This window comes from Homo sapiens, chromosome 1, assembly GCF_000001405.40.
Source record: "Homo sapiens chromosome 1, GRCh38.p14 Primary Assembly".
Classification (NCBI taxonomy): domain Eukaryota; kingdom Metazoa; phylum Chordata; class Mammalia; order Primates; family Hominidae; genus Homo; species Homo sapiens.
In genome coordinates this window covers 216,909,148-216,928,865 of record NC_000001.11, presented here as the reverse complement: position 1 = coordinate 216,928,865, position 19,718 = coordinate 216,909,148, and the positions used below count along the sequence as shown (strand labels likewise).

At 40.4% G+C, this 19,718-nt stretch overlaps 1 protein-coding gene across 41 annotated transcripts in view, besides 1 other annotated feature; it reads left to right on the top strand.

Annotated features, from left to right (window-relative positions):
• ESRRG (estrogen related receptor gamma) overlaps positions 1–19,718 on the top strand; it is a 634,457-nt gene that overhangs the window by 208,837 nt on the left and 405,902 nt on the right. The gene's annotated exons all lie outside the window — the stretch shown is intronic.
• Positions 15,691–15,880: a silencer, noted in NCBI's record as "fragment chr1:217086328-217086517 (GRCh37/hg19 assembly coordinates)". NCBI's record gives its function as "represses an EF-1alpha promoter that drives an FKBP-Casp9 reporter gene in an ReSE screen in K562 erythroleukemia cells {active_cell/tissue: K562}" and the evidence as "EXISTENCE:reporter gene assay evidence [ECO:0000049][PMID:32094911]".

The following is a 19,718-nucleotide window of genomic DNA, read 5'->3' as shown; positions in this document are numbered from 1 at the left end:
TTTGTCCTTTTGTATCTGGCTTATTTCACTCAGAGTAGTGTCTTCAAGGTTCATCCTGGCTGTAGCATGTATCAGAATCCTAATCTTTTCCAAGGCTTAATAATATTCACTGTATGTAGCGACCACATTTTGTTTTTCCATTTGTTTGTTGATTAATATTTGGATTGTTTCCATAGGAGACCATTGTTTTAAATCCTAAAATACATAATCCTCCATGTAATCTAGTAACCTGGGTGATGGTCAGTGGCATGCAGCTGGAGGATTTAATCAGGGAAGGAAAGGATAGATGGAAGAATCATCAATGTGCTTAGGAAACTCATAAAAAATGTCCACGAACATGGAGGCTGTGACAGGAAGAAGAGGAGATGTTCCCAATGGGTCATGGCAGTCTTGACGTGAAGAAGGCAATGAAGATGGATGCTGTGAGTTTCTTAATGATAGTAAATATTGAGAAGTGGGGTTGAGAGATGCTCCTCTTTTTAACCTTCCCTTGTTATTGAAATGGAGGAGTGGGATGGCTAGAAGGGGCAGAAAAAACTGAGACATCCTCTGAGAGGAGACACTGGGGAAAAGAGGTGAGAAAAAGTGGAGGCTAAAAGGGAGTTTGCCCACAGATATTTTACAGGGGAAAAATTCAATGGTGAAGGAAGAGTCAATCAATTCAAAGCCATTCTACAAATTTCATGCAGGGAGAGCCCTCAGCACAAGATTGATGCATATCTATTCTATAATTAACAACAATATGAAGGAAGAGATTCCACGGTCACCATTAGGTTCCAATCCCTCATGGTCAAGACTTTCTTCTTTTTAACTAGACTATTTTGAGCCCTTTTCTTCTCTTTGTCTTTTCAGTAACTGGAAAAGAATTACTAAAACTCACCCCATGAAAATCCCTCATGTGCCTGAATTCTTTCGAAGTTAAAGATTGGAACTGGATTAAACTCTTTTCCCTTAACAACTTCTTAGCTACAGTTTTCTAAGCCTTTAATGCCCTTTGAATTGTCTGCTCTAAGTTCTCTTGGGTTAAAGTACACCAGTAAGAATAGCCAGATTTCGTCATATCCCATGCAAAGCTAGTGCTCTCCTTCATGATCTGGGAGCCCCGTCCCGCGGTGCCAGCATCCAGTATGGCACCAGTCCTGCCTTGGAGTAAAAGAATGCCATATTCCTGAAGGAAATTTCTCAGCCTGCAGAGAGGGGCCTATGGCGTGCCTTAGCCATCAAGCTCAACCTCTCAGCCTAAAGGCAGAGCAAGTCACTTTCCAAGATATGGCTGGCCCTAAGATTGTGTTAGCCTTTTGGAAGTATTATCCTTTTTCTTTCTAGTTCAGAAGCTCAGCACGTTGGCCCATTTCAAGTTGCCTCTGATCTTTAACTGCTGCTCCTCAGCCCCTTGGATCCATCCTTGGGGATATTCTCACTGGTCACTTTGCAGAGCTCCCTCAGGCCAAGAACGCCTCCCTCCCTTTGTTTCTACTTAACCCTTGCCCTTCAGGGTGGTGAGGGGCCGTCTTCAGGCTCCCTCCCTTGTAGTCTATTATTACTTGCAGGTGATTAGCAGGCAGGTCCCTTCTAAGCAAAAAGGAACATTGCCCCAGGCACCGCATTCCCATAGGCTCTTGCCATTTTGCTACAAAAGAGAAAAATCGAGCCTTTGAAGAGTGTATATACACTATTCATGTACTTAGAAAGAGAGGAGTGTCTATAAAATTTCAGGAACAGCATTGGATTTTACTCAGTTATCAGACGGCAGAACTCTTGAGTTATGGTTCGGATTGCTTTCAGAATTAAAAAGAAGCAGTTGCCATTTCTAAGCATCTAGTCTTTTAATAAAAGTTTATTTGAGAATTTCTCTCTAGACACTAATCCCCCAACAAGCTGTATTCCAGTGAGACAGAGTGTCCATGAAATATAGTAATTGGAGCTCTGTTGGGCTATTCTTCGTGCAGGGAGAGCTCGCTTAGTGACAGCATGCTGCATTCAGCATTCAGCATTCAGCATTCAGCATTCCACCCGGCGCTCTGGCTACTCATTTGACCGGATGAAAGCTTCCTTCTCTACCTCAATCTTCCAGGCTTTTTTGTCACCTACACTGCTACCTTCAGATCCCCCAGGGGAAATATTATATGCTTCTTTCAACATCTTGAGCTACTGTCCTCAGCATTAAGTGAAACATTATACTTTTTTTTGTATCTCTATGGCTGCAAGTGCAATGTCCCTCTCAGACCACAAAAAAAGTAGCTAGTTGATTTTCCAGAGTTTTAAATGGCTAGTTTCTCTCCTATTATTTTTCATTGAAAAATAAAATTTTAAAATTAAATGTAACTTTTTCCCCTTCGCTCCTCTGCCAAATAAATATTGCCAAACCATTTGGTCTTTGGACTCCATGGATTCACATTTCATGTGTAAGAGTCACAGGAACGAAACAGGAGTGATTTTTTTTTTTTTTTTTTCATAGGTGTTATCAGTTTTCCTGGGATGGAAAGTGGTTGAGCTGAAGTACCTGTTCCCACAGAACAGGCCAGGGAACAAGTCCTCTGTCTCCTCAGTTTCTTTGGCTCTGGATTTAATTTTTTACTCAGTTATGAGAGTGTGGTGTGTCCCTTAGAGCACCTGGCCAAATTCATCTGATCTGGTGTTTCCCAGGTGTGTGCAGATCTGCGGAAGCAGCAGCTCGAGGGCAGGGGCCTGGCATCTGTGTTCTAATAAGTGCCCGAGGTGCTCCTTTGGGTCTGGCAAGTCTGGAAAACACTGGTCCATCCATCCCAGCGTTTTGCTTGCAGATCTGTACCAGATTTCAGGGCTGTCTGAGGGCTGTGGAGTTGTTTGTGTGGCCTTTTTCTCATGCTCGCTCAGATTGTTTTCTCCTGAGGTGATCATGAACTGTGAAGAGCAGACCCACTTTGGTTTTTTCTGGAGACAGAGTCTAGCTCTGTTGCCCAGGCTGGAGTGCCATGGTGCGATGTTGGCTCACTGCAACCTCCACCCCCCGGGTTCAAGTGATTCTCCTGCCTCAGCCTCCCAAGTAGCTGGGATTACAGGAGTACACCACCACGCCTGCTAATTTTTGTATTTTTAGGAGAGACAGGGTTTTGCCATGTTGGACAGGCTGGTCTCAAACTCCTGACCTCAGGCGATCCTTCCTCCTCGGCCTCCCAAAGTGCTGGAATTACAGGAGTGAGCCACCACACCCAGCCGAGCAGACCCACTTTGAATAAACCAGGAAAAGAAGGAGCATTCCGCCCCCACCCCAAAAAAACAAAAACCCAATCCCTGTCCCCCCAAAAACAGAAAAACCTCAGGGGCATGTTCTTCTCTTGTATTTGAGAATAACCTTAGAAGATATAAAATTGAAATACTCCTTCCGGGAACCGCTGCTGTCTCGCTTGTCTCAACATGTTTGTCATTGTTATTGTTGTTGTTGTTTTTGAGACGGAGTCTCGCTCTGTCCCCCAGGCTGGAGTGTGGTGGCGTGATCTCAGCTCACTGCAACCTCCGCCTCCCGGGTTCAGGCAATTTTCCTTCCTCAGCCTCCCAAGTAGCTGGGACTGCAGGTGCACACCATCATGCCCAGCTAATTTTTGTGTTTTTAGTAGAGACGGGGTTTCACCATGTTGGCCAGGCTGGTCTTGAACTCCTGGCCTCATGATCTGCCCGCCTCGGCCTCCCAAAGTGCTGAGATTACAGGCATGAGCCACCACACTTGGCCAACATGTTTTTATAACAACAGTCATGCAGCCTGTTGAGCCATCCTGTTTAAGTCCCCAAACCTTTGTCTCCCTGCGGGAGAACTGCCTGTGGTTCCTATTGCTTGATAAGGTGGCTCAGAAAAGGGACCTGTTTCAAGGACCTGGAAATCTTCTTGGGTAAATAGTAGCAGATGATACAGAAGAAAACCAGGAAGCTTTGGGGTATGCTGGGGAGAGCTACTAGATGTAAATATGCATCAGAAAGACCATATACTTTTATTATCTATGGAGTAAGTCAGGCTAGGGGCTGAGGAACAATTGAAAAGAGTATCTTGGGTACATAATGAAGTTTTAGAGTTTCTCACCTCACCCGCTACGGCTTCCTGTTTGCCCAAGTCACATTTCCACCCTGTCATAAATACACCGTGGCTGGAGCTGCAAACTCTATCAATAACAACAAAAAGCCATGACATGAGCCTTTCCTGTATTTGCAACACTCTTTGGATTGCCATGGCAACAATAGTTTTAATTATGGAGAGGCAAAATGATAACTTTTATATCAGATGTGGCTCACTTTTCCCTGTGGACAAAACTCTGATTTGAGAGAGGCTTTGCATGTGGATTTTCCTTCTAGGCTGGATTTTATTATCTGCTCTAACAGACAGCTCTTTTGCTTATGGAATGAACCAGAAGAAGCCAAAGCCCTGGCTGAAGGGGCTGCTGGACACTGGCCCTTGTGGAGGCGAATTGGACCCTTTGGTCTCGGAGGCAGCCTGATGTGCTTGTCACATGTGCATTTAAGAACCAAGTGAGCCATTGCTCTCGAGGGCTGCTTTTGGCCTCCCCTTTCAACCAGTGGAAATCTGCATGTTAGGATAGAGACTTGCGTGAAGTATCATCTGGTAATCATCCTTGACAATGTTCAGGATTATGCTGGAGGGACAAACAAGTAATTCCATTGCAGTAGCAGTCATGGAAATATACAAATCATAGCAGCTTTCCAATCAGAGCTGTGGAGGGGGAAATGTGGGAGAGAAAACCTCTTCCTCTGTCTGCTCCCCCTGCCCTTCATTTCTGGATCCACTTGCTCACTCCTCGAATTTCTCTTCAGGTTTGGAAAGGTATCACACCATCTCTAAATAATTCTGGGCTCCCTCATTTTGAAAGCTCTTGCAAAGCTAAATAATCTTCTTCGTAGGTAAACATAAATCATTGTCTACCTTCTTTGCTCCTTGAGTAGACCTTTTGATACATTCATTAATTATGGCCACTGCCTGGTGGTGCAGTAATGGCTGAGTCACTGCCGTGAGCATCTTTCCTGGAACGCTCCCATTTCTGACACTGAACCCGAAAATCCAATTCAGTGTTAAAGAGGCCCTTCATTGTGACACTGGACAGCCAGGTGGTCAGGCAAGTAAAAGAAATATGCCTGAAAAATGCAGCAGTGTGGTTGTAGGAGTGAGGGTTGGAGAAAGCGGATGCATGGAATGTTGATGGAATGATGCTGTCCTTAAAACCTGCTGCCACTGTTTCTAATCTCTGGCAACCTCTGGAATAAGATCTTGATCCTCTGCTCGGATCTGCCGACTCCACCAACAGTCCAGTTAATCACAATCCCAGCTTTTGAAGGCTAGAATGCCCATGCAGAACTATGGAGTAACAGGCACCATGGTTCTCATTTCTAATCCTTTCCCACATTATTTTTTTGAAAAAAAAAATGCAGAAAAGTCCCGATTTTTGGTAAATCTTGCTTAACGAATGACACAGTCTCTGTGTTTGTTTTGTTTCCATATTCAGGGAGCTTTGCAGCTATGATTTTGATTTTGGAGTTTAGGCATGTTAATTAAGCCTTTGTATGAAAGCAGAGGGGTTCTGTTTCTTGTTTGTTAGTTTAATAAGATTTAGTGTTAAGAATGGCACTGAGAATCTGTCAGAATTAGCTTGGCTGCATATGTGTAGCTCAGCGCTTTGAGACCCTTGAAATGTCTGTTTTTAGGACATAAGCAGGGGGCTAATGAAAAGGCTTTGTTGATTTTAACGAATTGCAAGCCACTGTAGCCAAAATAAATATAATCTGCTTTTTGGATTAGTTGTCACAGATGATTTTACCTACTAACAGTGATTAAAGAACCCGAGTGGACCAGAAGCATAGCTGCTCTCTGGTGACTCTTGTTAAAATAGCAATAAACAGAAGTAAATAAAGACTTAGGGCATAGTTATCTTTAATAAACAGTGACAACAAATATACAGTGTGCAGGCGTGAAAGGGTAGGAGTGGAGGCTTAGGGAAGACTGGGGTGTCAAATACCCGTATGGCGCACAACAGTATGGCTCTTGCTGCCACAAAAACTTGCAATTGTTAACAACAACAGAAAACCCACAGGAAACACTAAAGTGCTTGCTGGTATTGTTCATGTGTTGCAGTTGTGGTTCATTAGAAAGTGGTTAGAAACCCAGGGCTATCTTCTTGTTTCCCAGCTCCTTTTCCAAAGCCAATCCAATTCATTGCCATTCTGCTCTCATCTTCCTTCGGACTCGGGGACCAAAGTTGAAATCCTGCAACTATAGGATTAGAGTATGAAAATGAAGGAAGTGTTAATTACTTGTGTAATTATTAACCTTCTTGCTGCAGTAATTCTACCTAGTTAATGAACAGGCAACCAGCACTATATCCTTCTTTGTATTTTTCTACCCTGATGAAAAGAATGACTTGCCCCCATGGACAAATATGATCCTTAGATTTCCCCAGGAAAGTCTCAGTCTTGGTTTTCCCTCATTACTGCTTAACTGCAACTCGAACTAAAAAGGTTGTGTCTGAAACCCTCTTAGGCAGGGCCTGGGAGTGCTGGCTGAAAGTTGCCTTTAGTAGCCAGAAAAATTATCAGGTGAGAGAAGCTACAGTTTTTCCTATTATTTTTAATTTTATCTAATGTTTTAAAAAATGCTGTGTACGCTTCATCTGTGATGGCAAATCAAGTGACAGTCAGAGCCTTCCTTAGCTTCTCTTTGCCCTGGAGGGTAGATATTATTGTATCTGTTTACAGAGGCAGAGACTGGTGTGCCCAAGGTCCATGGTGAGACATAGAGAGAACCAGCAATAGATCATGGCCTTCCAGTTAGTTCCTGGTGGTAACCGCGGTGTTATCCCACTGTTGACTGGCCCAAAGCAGTGCACACCCACTCACAGTTTCAAAGATTACAACCTTCACCCTCCAGAACTAGTAGCTGTCATTATTAAGGTTTTACCATGTGCCAGGCACTGTCCATTATAGATAGCATGCCATTTGATAATGCACAATAAATGTGTTCATCTCATAAATATTTCTTGAGTGATCCCAAGTACCAGGTTCTGCCTTAGAGATGCAGCAGGGAATAAAATTAATACAAATTGCTGCCCTCCTGAAGTTTTTATTCCAGTGGAAGGAGTTAAGACAATAAATGCAATATATTTTAAAAAATTCATTGTATTAGAAGGTGGTAAGTGCCATGGAGAGAAAGCAGGAGAGTAGAGTTGCAATTCAAAATAAGATGAGTGTAAAAGCCCCACTGAGCAGGTGATCCTGGAGCAGAGACTTGAAGGAAGTGAGTGAGCAGCCACCTAGGTGTCTGGGGAAGAGTGCAAAGTGAAGAAGTGCAGAGGCTGTCACCAGAGTGCCGTAGGAGGGTTGGGGGCTTCAGAGTTAATAAGAGGTCAAGTTCGTAGGAGTTCGCAGTCCATTGTCAGGAACGTGTCCTTTACTCTTTGGGAGATGGGGAGCCCTTGGGAAGTTTTAGACAGAGTCTTGGCAGTATATCTCTTACATTTCAAACCTTGAGAAGTAGGTAATGTTATCCTCGTCTTACCGATGGAACACAGAGGGAGCGCAGAGTAAGTTCAGTTAAGTACTTGAAAAAAGTCACCATGCGACTAAGAGGCAGAGAACACACTGTCTTACTCCTCCACGCTTCTACTACTCTCCACCTCCTGATGAAAGATGTGTCTGGTATCTACGTGATGTCTTTCTTACCATCAAATGGGAAAAAAATCTTGCCAACTTTATTTTTTAGATGATATACTCTTTGAATATCTGGATTCAAAGTCATGTAGTAATTGGACCATTCAGGATACCATTTGCATCATTAAGTTTAGTTTCCAAATGAGACAGCAGAACTTAGGGAAATCTTTAAGTTGGGTAAAACTGCTTGAGGTCACATAAGCAGGTAGTGTTGGGTCTGGGATTTAAACTTAGTTCTGCTGCCCAACTCTGAGTCGTGTGCCTTGCTCACAGCATAATGCTGCCTCTACAACACTAATAATTTTAGACACTAAGATGCGTTAAACATATGTAGCGAATGAGATGCCTGTAATAGTGACCTTTTCATGCAGCTCCTTCCCTCAACTTCTTCCTTCATGTTCCAGGACAGATCCTGGGGCAGATGTTCAGTTATCTGCTGGATCATATTGACATTCTGTAGCTAGAAAAGGCAGCAGTGTAATAAGTGAAAGCATTGTGTTGAAGTAAGTGTTTGGGGACTGTCCTTAGATTTCATTTGTCTCGGGAATGTATTTTCCAAATCCTACAAACCACCACAAGATGATATAAGTCTCTTTCTTTGTACATCAGTAACAATCTATTCTGGCTTGTTTCTTTTATGGTGAACTTGAAAGATAAAAAGACGTCATTAAATATTCTCATCTAATTCTTATAATGAATGTGAAAGGCTGTGCCATGGCCAGCAAATGCAGGCACACAATTGTCCCTACAGAAAAATATGCGCACACACACACACACACACACACACACACACACACACTCCCATACATTCACACACAACTAGAGTTCTCTATTTTCTAGGTCTTCTTTGTAATTTTGACTCATGTTGATTATCTTGATCAACTCTATTTGAATGATTTAAATCATTATTTTCCCTGACTGGAGTCCATACCAGCTTCTGGACATGACTTTTTAAAGAAGGCTTTACGTCCACAATCTTTAGAATTTTGACAGACTAAACAAACACTTTTTGTAGTGCGAGCACAGCATTGCTCTTTTCCTTCACTAAATAACTTTGCATTTCAACCTTGTATTTTCTGTGAAGGAAACACTGCCATGTGAATGAATGATATATTATACAACTTCATCTTGCTGCAGGCAAGTTCTTCCCCAGTGCATTTCTGATGTTCTCTTGTATCGTAGTGCTACCCTTTTGTAGGCTTCGCCTGGCATCTGCCACCATTTCCCTGAATAACATAACAAGATGCCAGTGATACTCAGTCTTAGACTTATTAGAATAAAATTTAATGCAGGTGCTCTGTTCATTTTCCATTGACTCTTACTTGGGTGTCTGGCATTTTGAAATAAGAGGAAGTAATTATCTTGTTCTCCTACCATACACTGACAGGTGGGACGGACCCAAGCAAAAGCATGGTTCTGCTTAAAATTCAAATTAACACCCGGGTCAGGTCTGTAGTGGTATGGAAACATGATATTTCTCCTCCATGCAAGACTAATTCGGATATGCAATGCAAGTTTTTCTTGTCTGATTTCTAGAGAGGGGGCCTAGCTATGGTGATAGGCTGTTTGTTTTTTCCTTGAATTCTGTAAGAGAAGAATAAATAGAAAATATTCTGTTTTAATGCGTTATTGAAGAAGCAACTTTGTTTACTAGAAAACATTGTTAACCTAGCAACGGATTTATACTGGTTGGTGTTCAAATTTCAGAGTTGCTTTTCAGCCCAAGCCTGAGTGTTCTAGCTGTATGATTGGTCTCCTCACCAAAGCCTTTGAAATATGATGTTTCTCAGCTCAACCCCGGAAGTGCTGTTCCTAAAATGATTAACATTTTGACAAATTGAATATAAAATTATCCGTGCCACATGGATGACATTTTCTCTATGAAGGGAAAGACTAGTATCCCTTGCTTAGCAGGTGACTTGGAATTAGCAAACCCTTGGCTCTAGGAGAAAGAGCATGAAACCAGAGCCAATGAGCACGTGAGGCCTCCCGTTTGTGAGTTTCAAAGTTATGGCAAGCTAATTTCCCATAGTTTCCTTAGTGGCTGGATATAAGTACTTTTACTCTGAAATGGAAACATTAGATAAGGAAGTGAATTTATACAGGTTTACATTCTTTGAAACTGACATAAAAATATGTAACAGCTAATACCAGATATTAAGTATTATCATTAATATTTTTTGTAGTTTATAAAAGTTATATTATGCATTTGATATTCATAAGTGTGTGATGCAGGTAGTATAAGCATCATTATCCTCATTTTTTAGATTAATAAATGAGTTCAGAGTTTATCTGATTATATATATATACACATATCTATAATATATATATTATTATATATATATCTACGATCAGAAATGTTACTCTGGTTTTCAGGTTCTCTGATTTCAAATATAGGGATTTTTAAACAATATAACCTTGACTTTTATAAATTTTTTTATTTTTAGCTAACATTCTGCTTTATTATAAATATTTTAAAATTTTAACTCAAAGCACAATCAGTTTATCACTGAAATTTGAGTTATGGAAAGGTTCCATTAGGTCATTATCGTCTTTATTTTTAAATCTCATAGTGAAAAGTTAAATAATAGTAGAGAACAGGAAGAAGTCTCTAGAGACAGGAAGAGGATTTGATGAAGTTTGCATGTGAGGAATAAGCTGAGCATGTATATATCTATGTAGAGAAGCTTGCACTATCTAGAATTATAGAGAAGAAAAATTTGCAATTTGTTTCAGCCTTAAAAATAGGTAACACATAGCAGGCTTATTTTCCCCACACCAGTTTATAGAGTTGAGGCAGAATCAGATGACCGAGACAGCAAGGTGTTCCTTTGAAAGAGAGAGCAGGGCACATATTGCTTTTCCAAACTCTCTGTGTACATACAGCTGATTCCATTCATTAGCACATTTAACATGAAGAATATGAGAATGTGGAATACTTAAAATAACCTTAAAAGTCCATATTTGAAAAGAGGAATTTTCCCAGGAGTAAACAAAATTAACTGTCCCAGAAGCTGATGTTTGGAATTGAATTACAAATGCCTTTGTAGATTTTAAATTTCGCAAAACATGTTCTAGCATCATTTAAAAATAACAACTTTAAAGGGCTCATAAATAAAGACATAAAAGGCGTTTTGACATTTAATACAAAAACAGCATTTTGATGAACTGGGTAAAAATGAATCAGAGACATATGGATTACATATTTCTTATAGTGCGCCTGAGTTTTAAAATTGAGGCAGTGGAAATCTGGCAAAATATTTTTGGGGAATTTGCTACATATACTATATTTAAAAAGAGGTGAAGATGAACTCCAGACTACTATGATTGCTCATGACATTGAATTTGATAACTTTTAATTTGCGGATAAGAAATTCTTGTGAAATAGCTCAATCTGTCTATGTGTTGTAGAAGTGAGTGGTTGGAGACAGTGAGTACCAATTCATTTGATCACATAATCGTTCAACAAACACACAATGCCAGGTTCTGTACTAGGTACTGGGGTGACTTCTATGATGGCTAACGTGAACTGTGGACTCTGCTCTTGTGGGAAAGGTAGACAGTTGTAGGAAGGGACTCACAAATTTCTGGGTGTTACAAATTCCAAATACTTTGGGATATATGAAAGAGACCACTTACAGAGTATTTACTGGGTGTCAGTCACTGTGCTAACCACATCACATTCATTATCACGTTTAACTGTGAGATCTCTATAAAATAGGAATTATTATTTTCCCTTTTAATGGATGAGAAACATAACATCAAAGTGTACAGATCAGGTGACTTGTTGCGTGTCAGTGGTAATTGGCTACATTGGTTGCTCACAGTGAACCATGTCTTTTATACTCACACTCGTATAGTCACTACTCCTTGAATCAAGGCTGGCCCTGGGATTCACTTTAACCACTAGACTGTGTCAGAAATGATCTCGTTCCAGTTCCAGACCTAAGCATTAAGTAGACCTGGCAGATTTCACTTCTGTAATCTTGAAAGCCCTGTCACCTGGTAAAAAAAAAAAAAAAAAGAAAGTCTATTTATGCTGCTGGAGAGACTGTATGCTGAGACTGTGTAGAGAGACACAGGAAGAGGGAGAGACCCTGAGATTCTAGGGGAGGAGAGAGAGAGGTTCAATTGAGCCCAGATCCCAGCCAACTAGCCAGCTGAATGCAGCCACATGAGCAACCACCAGTAAGATGAACGGAACGGTGCCACTGAGCCCCGCCCAGATTATGGACTCCTGAGCAAATACAATGGTAGTTGTTTATAACCACTGAGTTTTGGGTGGTCAGTTACATAGCAAAAAAAAAAAAAAAAAAAAAAAAAAAAAAAAAAAAAAAAAAAAAAAAAAGACCAAAGCTGAGTGGAATTTGAACCCAGATCACCCTGGCTGTAATGTATGTATATTTTTTCTCACTGTGTTTGCTCATGAGAGGAGGGTGAGGAGTGGAGGAATGGGATCCCGTGGTATTTGAGCACTTCTCAAAATGGTCTACATCTGACATGAATGAATTCTGAAAAAGAAAATGTTAGAAGACTCTTTACTTTGTACTTTAGAGGAAAAGAGGAACACAGCAGTGGTATAGGACCCATCCCCAGGGCCTTCTTGCTGCGCGTGCCTGGCGGTGCATGTATCAGAAAGAACATGAGCATGTGTCCCCAAATTCTCATTCCTCATCCTCTTCCTGGGCAAATGCCATGTAAATGTTTGTATTGACTTTATTTAGAATTATCAAACTAATAACGGATGCTAATGAATTCCTGTCTTTCACTTGGGAGTTTGTAAAGTTAGCACTGACAGGAACTTTGAAAAGTACACAATTCAACACACACATACACACATGCGGGGCATGATGAACGGTGACATGAAACAAATGGTGATCAAAAGATTTGAAACAGGGGCAGCATGCAGCGGTCAGGGAGAGCTGAGGGTCCCTGGCTGATAACACAGGGGAGCACTTGAAATGATAATTTTCTGGCAAGTCCACGTTTGAAGTGATGTCATCTTTTTTATTCTCTCAACTCAATTGCTTCTCTGAAGCTCATTCTTTCCATTCTGATGAGGAGCAAAAATGTTACATCAAAGGTTAATGCTTGAATTGGGGCTGAAAGGGAGAGGAGAGTGGGTGGGCACATGTACACACACACACACAGTGGTAGAGAAAGAATCACAAATGACTAAAAGTTCTTAAAAGTACGATATAAAGGAAGATAGCCATCTTCCTCCCTCCCGTGGCGAATAGTTCACAAGATCTCCTAGAGTTTGGATGTGAACTGTCACACTGCATGCCAACGAGGGTACTATCACTGGCTGTTTCCTTTGGAAGCCCAAGGTAGTACAGTGTGTGAAGAAGGACGCTGTGATACCATCAGCACTTCTGGTGCACACAGCAAGCTCCTGATTTGCCGAAATAGACATTCCTGGGTTCTTTTCTCAGCATTACCTGGATGTCAGTTAACACTGCTCTTTTTCCAGTCTTCCTCGGGAGACTGTCTTCAGTAGATGCAGCCTTGCATCCTGTGCATCTGCTACTGTAACAGCGGTTCAGATTTCTCTTTGTAATCAAGTACTCATTTCCAGGGTTTGTTTGTTTGTTTGTTTGTTTGTTTTAGCTATCTTGGCTGTTTTGGGTTGGATGGTAGATTGATTTGATTTTGTATGAATGCAAAATGTTGTGTTCAAAGTGTTGAACTTTGAATGTTCAAAGTGTTGAAAGAGCACCTTCTCCCTTCTTCCTCTCCACCCCATCTGCAGCCTCCTTAAGGAGAGAGGAATGTGTGGTGGTTTTTCTCATAGGTTGTTTTTTCCTAGGTTGTGGTGGCATATTTGGACTCTTCATGCCAACCAACAGATGCGAGGGTGAGGGACCACCTGGCTCTTGGGCATCCTTTCAGATGCAGAGCAGTGGTGACCTTGCTGCTTTATGTATCTTCTTTGTCTTCTTCAAGTTGCCCCACACAGTGGTGAGCCAGAAGCTTCCTGGGTAACTAGTAACCACAGAATGTGTGCTGCAATTCATGAGGTGGTGTGGCAATCTCTGGCAGTCACACCAAGGGAAATCCAGCAGATGGAAGAGATTCTGGGGACCCTCCCATGTTTACTGATGGAGAGTTGAGGGAGAAATTTGGAAATCGTGTACATACTTTGGCACACACTGGTGACTAGCAGTACTATTCTCCCTCCAGTTTCTTCAACTTATATTTAGATCTTTGAATAAAGGTCTGGGAAACTAGTACTTAAAAACAAATCCCTCCTGTGCTGTGAACATTTTTTCAGAGCCTGAGACTTCTGGATGGAGTAAGGAAAGAGGTAAAGGGTATGTTTCCTGTTGCCTGTCTGTCTTTTGAATCCCTCTGTCCTCCGCCCAGACAGTGGTTATGGTGGCCAGTGCTTCATAGACTGCATTAGGATGGGAGAGATGGTGACCTCATGCAAATGGTCAGCACTGCCAGATTATTATGTTGAGCATCAGGAACACTGGCATCAGGTACGCTACTGGCTTGGCAGAGGAGGTATCAAGGGGTAACATGTGCAAGATCAAACCACTGGCACTATTAAGTGAGCACTTTTGAAAATTGTACAATTCAGTTTCTTTTGGTAATGTCAGCAGACAATTGGACATGTTTACATGGTCAAAGTCTTTTTTTTCATACTGAGATGTTTTATGTGAGCGTTCCTTCTGAGAAATGCTGAAAATTTTTAGAGAGTTGCAGGGCCACTGATGGTTTGAAAAATGGCCTCTTAGCAATGTGTTTAACTTACAATGGGAAAAAGAGTGAGCATTTTTATAAGTAACATTGTATTTCATTTGTGTGATGAGGCTCATATAACAATCAATGTTAAATATGCGATACTACACTAGAGTCAAGTACACATATGAATATGCTGCTAATACTAATAAAAAACCAGAATTTTCCTCTTCAGGAAACATTACAAATATTTGTTTATTAATCCCCCGTGTCAGAGCTGAGATTAGAACTCAAGCTTTTCCTGCCAAAGGATTCGCTTTATCTTCAGCTGATAGCAGAGCTCATGGAAATAGCAGTACAGGAAGACAGTGTAAAGTTAAAAAAAAAGGATGGGGGGAGGGGGAGCTAATATGATTTTTAAGAACTTGAAATAGGTTTTTCTTGACCAGGACCTACTGGAATGAACTTTTCCGGTACTTTCCATGTTGTCATTTCTGTTTGCAAAAATAATAATGTAGTTTGCTGTTTATTAGTATAGAAATAAAACGCATTGATTTTTAAAAATTTTCTCCTCATCCTAATTCCCCTAGATATAACTGTGGACCTCTCAAAGTCAGAAAAGGGTAAAAACCTTGCAACTACTGCTGTAATTATAATGATAGCTAATTTCTCAGGCTTCCTCAAGGTTTATAATTATCATTAATAACAATGACTTACAGCATATAGAGTTTTATACATTGTAAAGTGCTTATCACACGCACTACATCATTTGATATTCATAACCACCTTCTGAGGTAGACAGGGAAGCTATTTTTATTCCCATCTTAGAACTAGGAAACAGATGCAGCACGCTTGAGGAATCGGCAAGGGCCGTAGAGTGAGTAAGCTTGGAAAAAGTGCAGCGCTCACGCTTGGACCCACGTCTCCTATCTTCGAAGCCACAATCCACTGATTATGTGAAGCAATAATGATACATTATTTTAAACCCTAAATATTAAACATAATGTTTTCTACACTTTCCTTTGATATCATTGGAAAAATATAAATATAAAGGATGCATATTCATTCATTCCTCAGTATCCATGAAGGATTGTTTCCAGTAGCCACCCCCACCCCCGACCGAAATCCATGAATACTCAAGTCCCTGATATAAAATAGTGTAATATTTGCATGTAACTATGCACATCCTCCCATATACTTTAAATCGTCTCTAGATTTCTCAATATAATGTAAAACTATGTAAGTAGTTGCTATAATGTATTAGTTAGGGAGTAATGACAAGGAAAAAAAGTCTGCACATGTTGAGTAGAGATGCAACTATTCAATTTTTTTCAAATATTTTCGTTTTTCTGTCTTTCTTTCCTTTTTTTTTTTTTTTTTTTTTGAGACAGAGTCTCGCTCTGGAGTGCAGTAGTGCGATCTCGGTTCACTGCAACCTCCACACCCTGGGGTTCAAGTGATTTTCCTGTCTTAGCCTCATGAGTAGCTGGGATTACAGGCATATGTCACCACGCCCAGCTAATTTTTGGTATTTTTAGTAGAGACGAGGTTTCATCATGTTGGCCAGGCTGTTTTTGAACTACTGGCCTCAAGTGATCCACCCACCTCAGCCTCCCAAAGTGCTGGCATTATAGGTATGAGCCACCATGCCCAGCCTCAAATATTTTCAATTAATGGTTGGTTGAATCCAGGGATGTGGAACCCAAGGATATAGAAGGCTGACTGTGTGTATATATATGTAATTGTGTGTATAATGTATTCAATAAAATATATACCTATATATGCACACACACAGTGTCAGATGGACATACCTCATGATTTGTAAAGTATTATTGTATCAGTAGTATCTAATTGAACATGTAGTAGGTGCTTATTTAATAGGATGTAATTACATATTATTTACTAGTATGAATAAAATCACAAATGTGTTTGGGGAGGGACAGATGTAAAAGAGACTGACTTGAGTGAAGATATGTGTATCCCCCAAATATTTAAAAAATATAAATAAGCACAAGGAAAATAGGCTTTGACATTACACAGGCCTACATTTGAATCCTACTACTGCCATCTTGAATGACTGTAAGACTTCAGGGAAATTAATGTCCTTTTTTCTTTACCTTTCCTTTCCTTCCCTCCCTCCCTCCCTTGCTTCCTTCCTTCTTTCCTTCCTTCCTTCCTTCTGTCCTTCCCTCCTTCCCTCCTTTCCTCTCCTCCCCTCTCCTCCCCTCCCCTCTCCTCTCCTCTCCTCTCCTCTCCTCTCCTCTCCTCTCCTCTCCTCTCCTCTCCTCTCCTCTCCTCTCCTCTCCTCTCCTTTTCTTTTCTTTTCTTTTCTTTTCTTTTCTTTTCTTTTCTTTTCTTTTCTTTTCTTTTCTTTTCTTTTCTTTTCTTCTTTTTTTACAGGGTGGGTCTTGCTCTGTCTCCCAGGCTTGAGTGCTGTGGGACAATCTCAGCTCACTGCAGCCTTGACCTGCCAGGCTCCAGCAATCCTCCCACCTCAGCCTCCAGCAATCCTCCCACCTCAGCCTCCTGAGTAGCTGGGACTACAGGTGCACATCACCACACCCAGCTAGTTTTTTCTGTGTGTTTTTAATAGAGTCAGGGTTTCACCATGTTGCCCAGGCTGATCTCAAACTCCTGAGCGCACGTGATCCACCTGCCTCGGCCTCCCAAAGTGCTAGGATTACAGGCATATGCCGCCACACCCAGCCTGTCTTTTCTTTTTTTAATAGACTTTAGGTTTAGAGCAGTTTTAGGTTGACAGCAAAATTGAGAGGAAAGTACAGAGAGTTTCCATATACCCCTCCCTGACACTAGCACAGCCTGCTCCATTATCAGCTTCCCCTACCAGAGTGGTACATTTGTTACGATTGATGAACCTGCACTGACACATCATTATCACCCAAATCCAAAGTTTACAATAGCATTCTCTCTGGGTGTCGTGCATTCTAGGAGTTTGGAAAAATGTACAATGACATGTAGCTACCATTATAACATTATACAGAGTAGTTTCACTGCCCTAAATATCCTTTGTGTTGCACCTATTCTTCCCTCCTCCTTGCCCAACCTCTGGCAGTCAATGATCTTTTAATTGTCCCCACAATTTTGCCTTTTCATATTATTGGAATCATATGATGTGTGCCATTTAAGGTTCCACATTTAAGGTTCCTCCATGTCTTTTCATGGCTTGATAGTTCGTCTTTTTAGCACTGAATAACAGTCCAGCGTCTCGATGTACCATAGTTTATTTATCCTTTCACTTACTGAAGGACATCTTGGTTGCTTTCAAGTTTTGGCAATTAAAAATAAAACTGCAATAAACATCTGTGAGCAAGTTTTTGTATGAAAATAAGTTTTCAACTGTAATGTACTTTTGCCAAGCTTTTTTCCTTTTCTTTGCAACTGTTAAATAACAATTAAAAGGCCTACAAGATAAGATGATGTATATTAAATAAATAAATGTAGAATAAACATGTGTAAAGTGCACTGTACTGAAAAATTATTCAATAAATGATTACTACTAATAAACTAAAGTAACAGATGTATGGACCTAACGTTTATGTTGAAGTGTAGAGTTACCTGTGCTTGAATATTTGCTTTCTAATGTAGACATGCCTATAGTCTCAAAGCTTTCTTAGTAGTGATCTTTGCAATTCATCTTTTCAGAGTCCAATTCTTATCAATGTACACAGGCAAGTTTTTAATATAGTAAAAATCCTATTAAGGAGTGCTTCACTTCACACATTTGGTTGGCCCCACCAATAGAGTCTCCATATAGTCAGTGATGTATAATGCCATGCCCCTCATCGTAACAAAGAAAGCATTGTCGGCCCCATTTCCTGACATCAAGAGTATAATAGCCTTCTGTCAAACTTATTCAATAGTGTCCTATTTATTAGAAATGCCAAATTTTTATCCTCTGTCCAGTCCTGTGACTTGTGCTGAATTAATGTGAATTGCTTTTGTAAGGTCAAGGCTTTTATGAAAATATAGTGAAAGTTTCAAGGAAGGTGGTGATGGCAGATTTTTCTTTAATTCATTGGAGTGCTTGTAATAAAACTAATGAATGGAAAGGACTGAACACTTTCAATTAGCGGCGTATAGTAAAATCCTAAAAATAATTAGTGGCTGAGATGATGTGCAGTTATTTAAAAATACTGTTTCTAGTTTGTAAGGATCTTGGTTTAGTTTGCTTTGGAATCAAGCCATGTGAGAGAGAGAAAAACCCACAATGTATGCGTGTGTGTGTGTGTGTGTATGTGTGCCTGTTTGTGTGTGTGTGTGTGTTTCAGCCAAACTTTTTCATTTTCATGCAATAATATAATGGATAGTAACTAATGGTTTTTAGTATTTTATTACTTGACAATTTTTTTCTTATATTCATATAAACTCATTCCTTACAACACTGTAAGGTTAGTATTATTATTCTATTTATCTTAATGAGGAAATAGGATGTATCTGATTGAAATTATCCCCTTTAAGTTTATATAGCTAAAATGTTTTAAAAATCAGGGAGTTAAGCCAGGTTTTATGACTCTACATCCAATGTTCTTTGTTCTGAATCACATTCATGTTTCTGGGTTCTTTTGTTTTTGTTCATTTGTGGGTTTTGCTTGTTGTTATTAATGGTGCTAGTTTCATTTCTGAAAAGAGCCCATAACAATTTAGTGCTTTTAGGTTTAATTGAATCTGTCCCTCAGATCTCTATTCAACAAATAGTGGTTCTGATAACATTTACTACGTGCCTAATATATTGGGTGCCTAGTATAAGCTTTGTGCTTGGTCTAGGAAGTCACAGATAAATTAGGTAAGGAGGCCGGGCACGGTGGCTCACACCTGTATTCCCAGCAATTTGGGAGGCTGAGGTGGGTAGATCACTTGAGGCCAGGAGTTTGAGACCAGCCTGGCCAACATGGAAAAACCCTGTCTCAACTAAAAATACAACTGTACTCCAGCCTGGGTGAGAGTGACACTTTATCTAAAAAATAAATAGATAAACAAACAAATAAATAAATAAATTAGATAAGGCTTTTATCCTCAAGGAGTGTTTAGTGTACCTTATGATGTCAGTTCTTTCTGGCCTAGTGTTACCTGATGGGAACTGGTTACTATCCATGGTATTGTGATTTGGTAACTCATAACCACCAGGCCACTCCCTGTGCTCTTACTTTCATAGACAGGGGAGGGCTGTAGAGGTCTTGGTGAAAACTGAAATTTTGTGAATCTAAATTGCATGTGCTTTTGATTGAGATTTTATAGTTATCACTGCCTCATAGATGATGATATTCTTCACATATACATTTGAAGGCACCCAGTGAAATATTATTACCGTCAGTTTAGAGTCTAAGGCT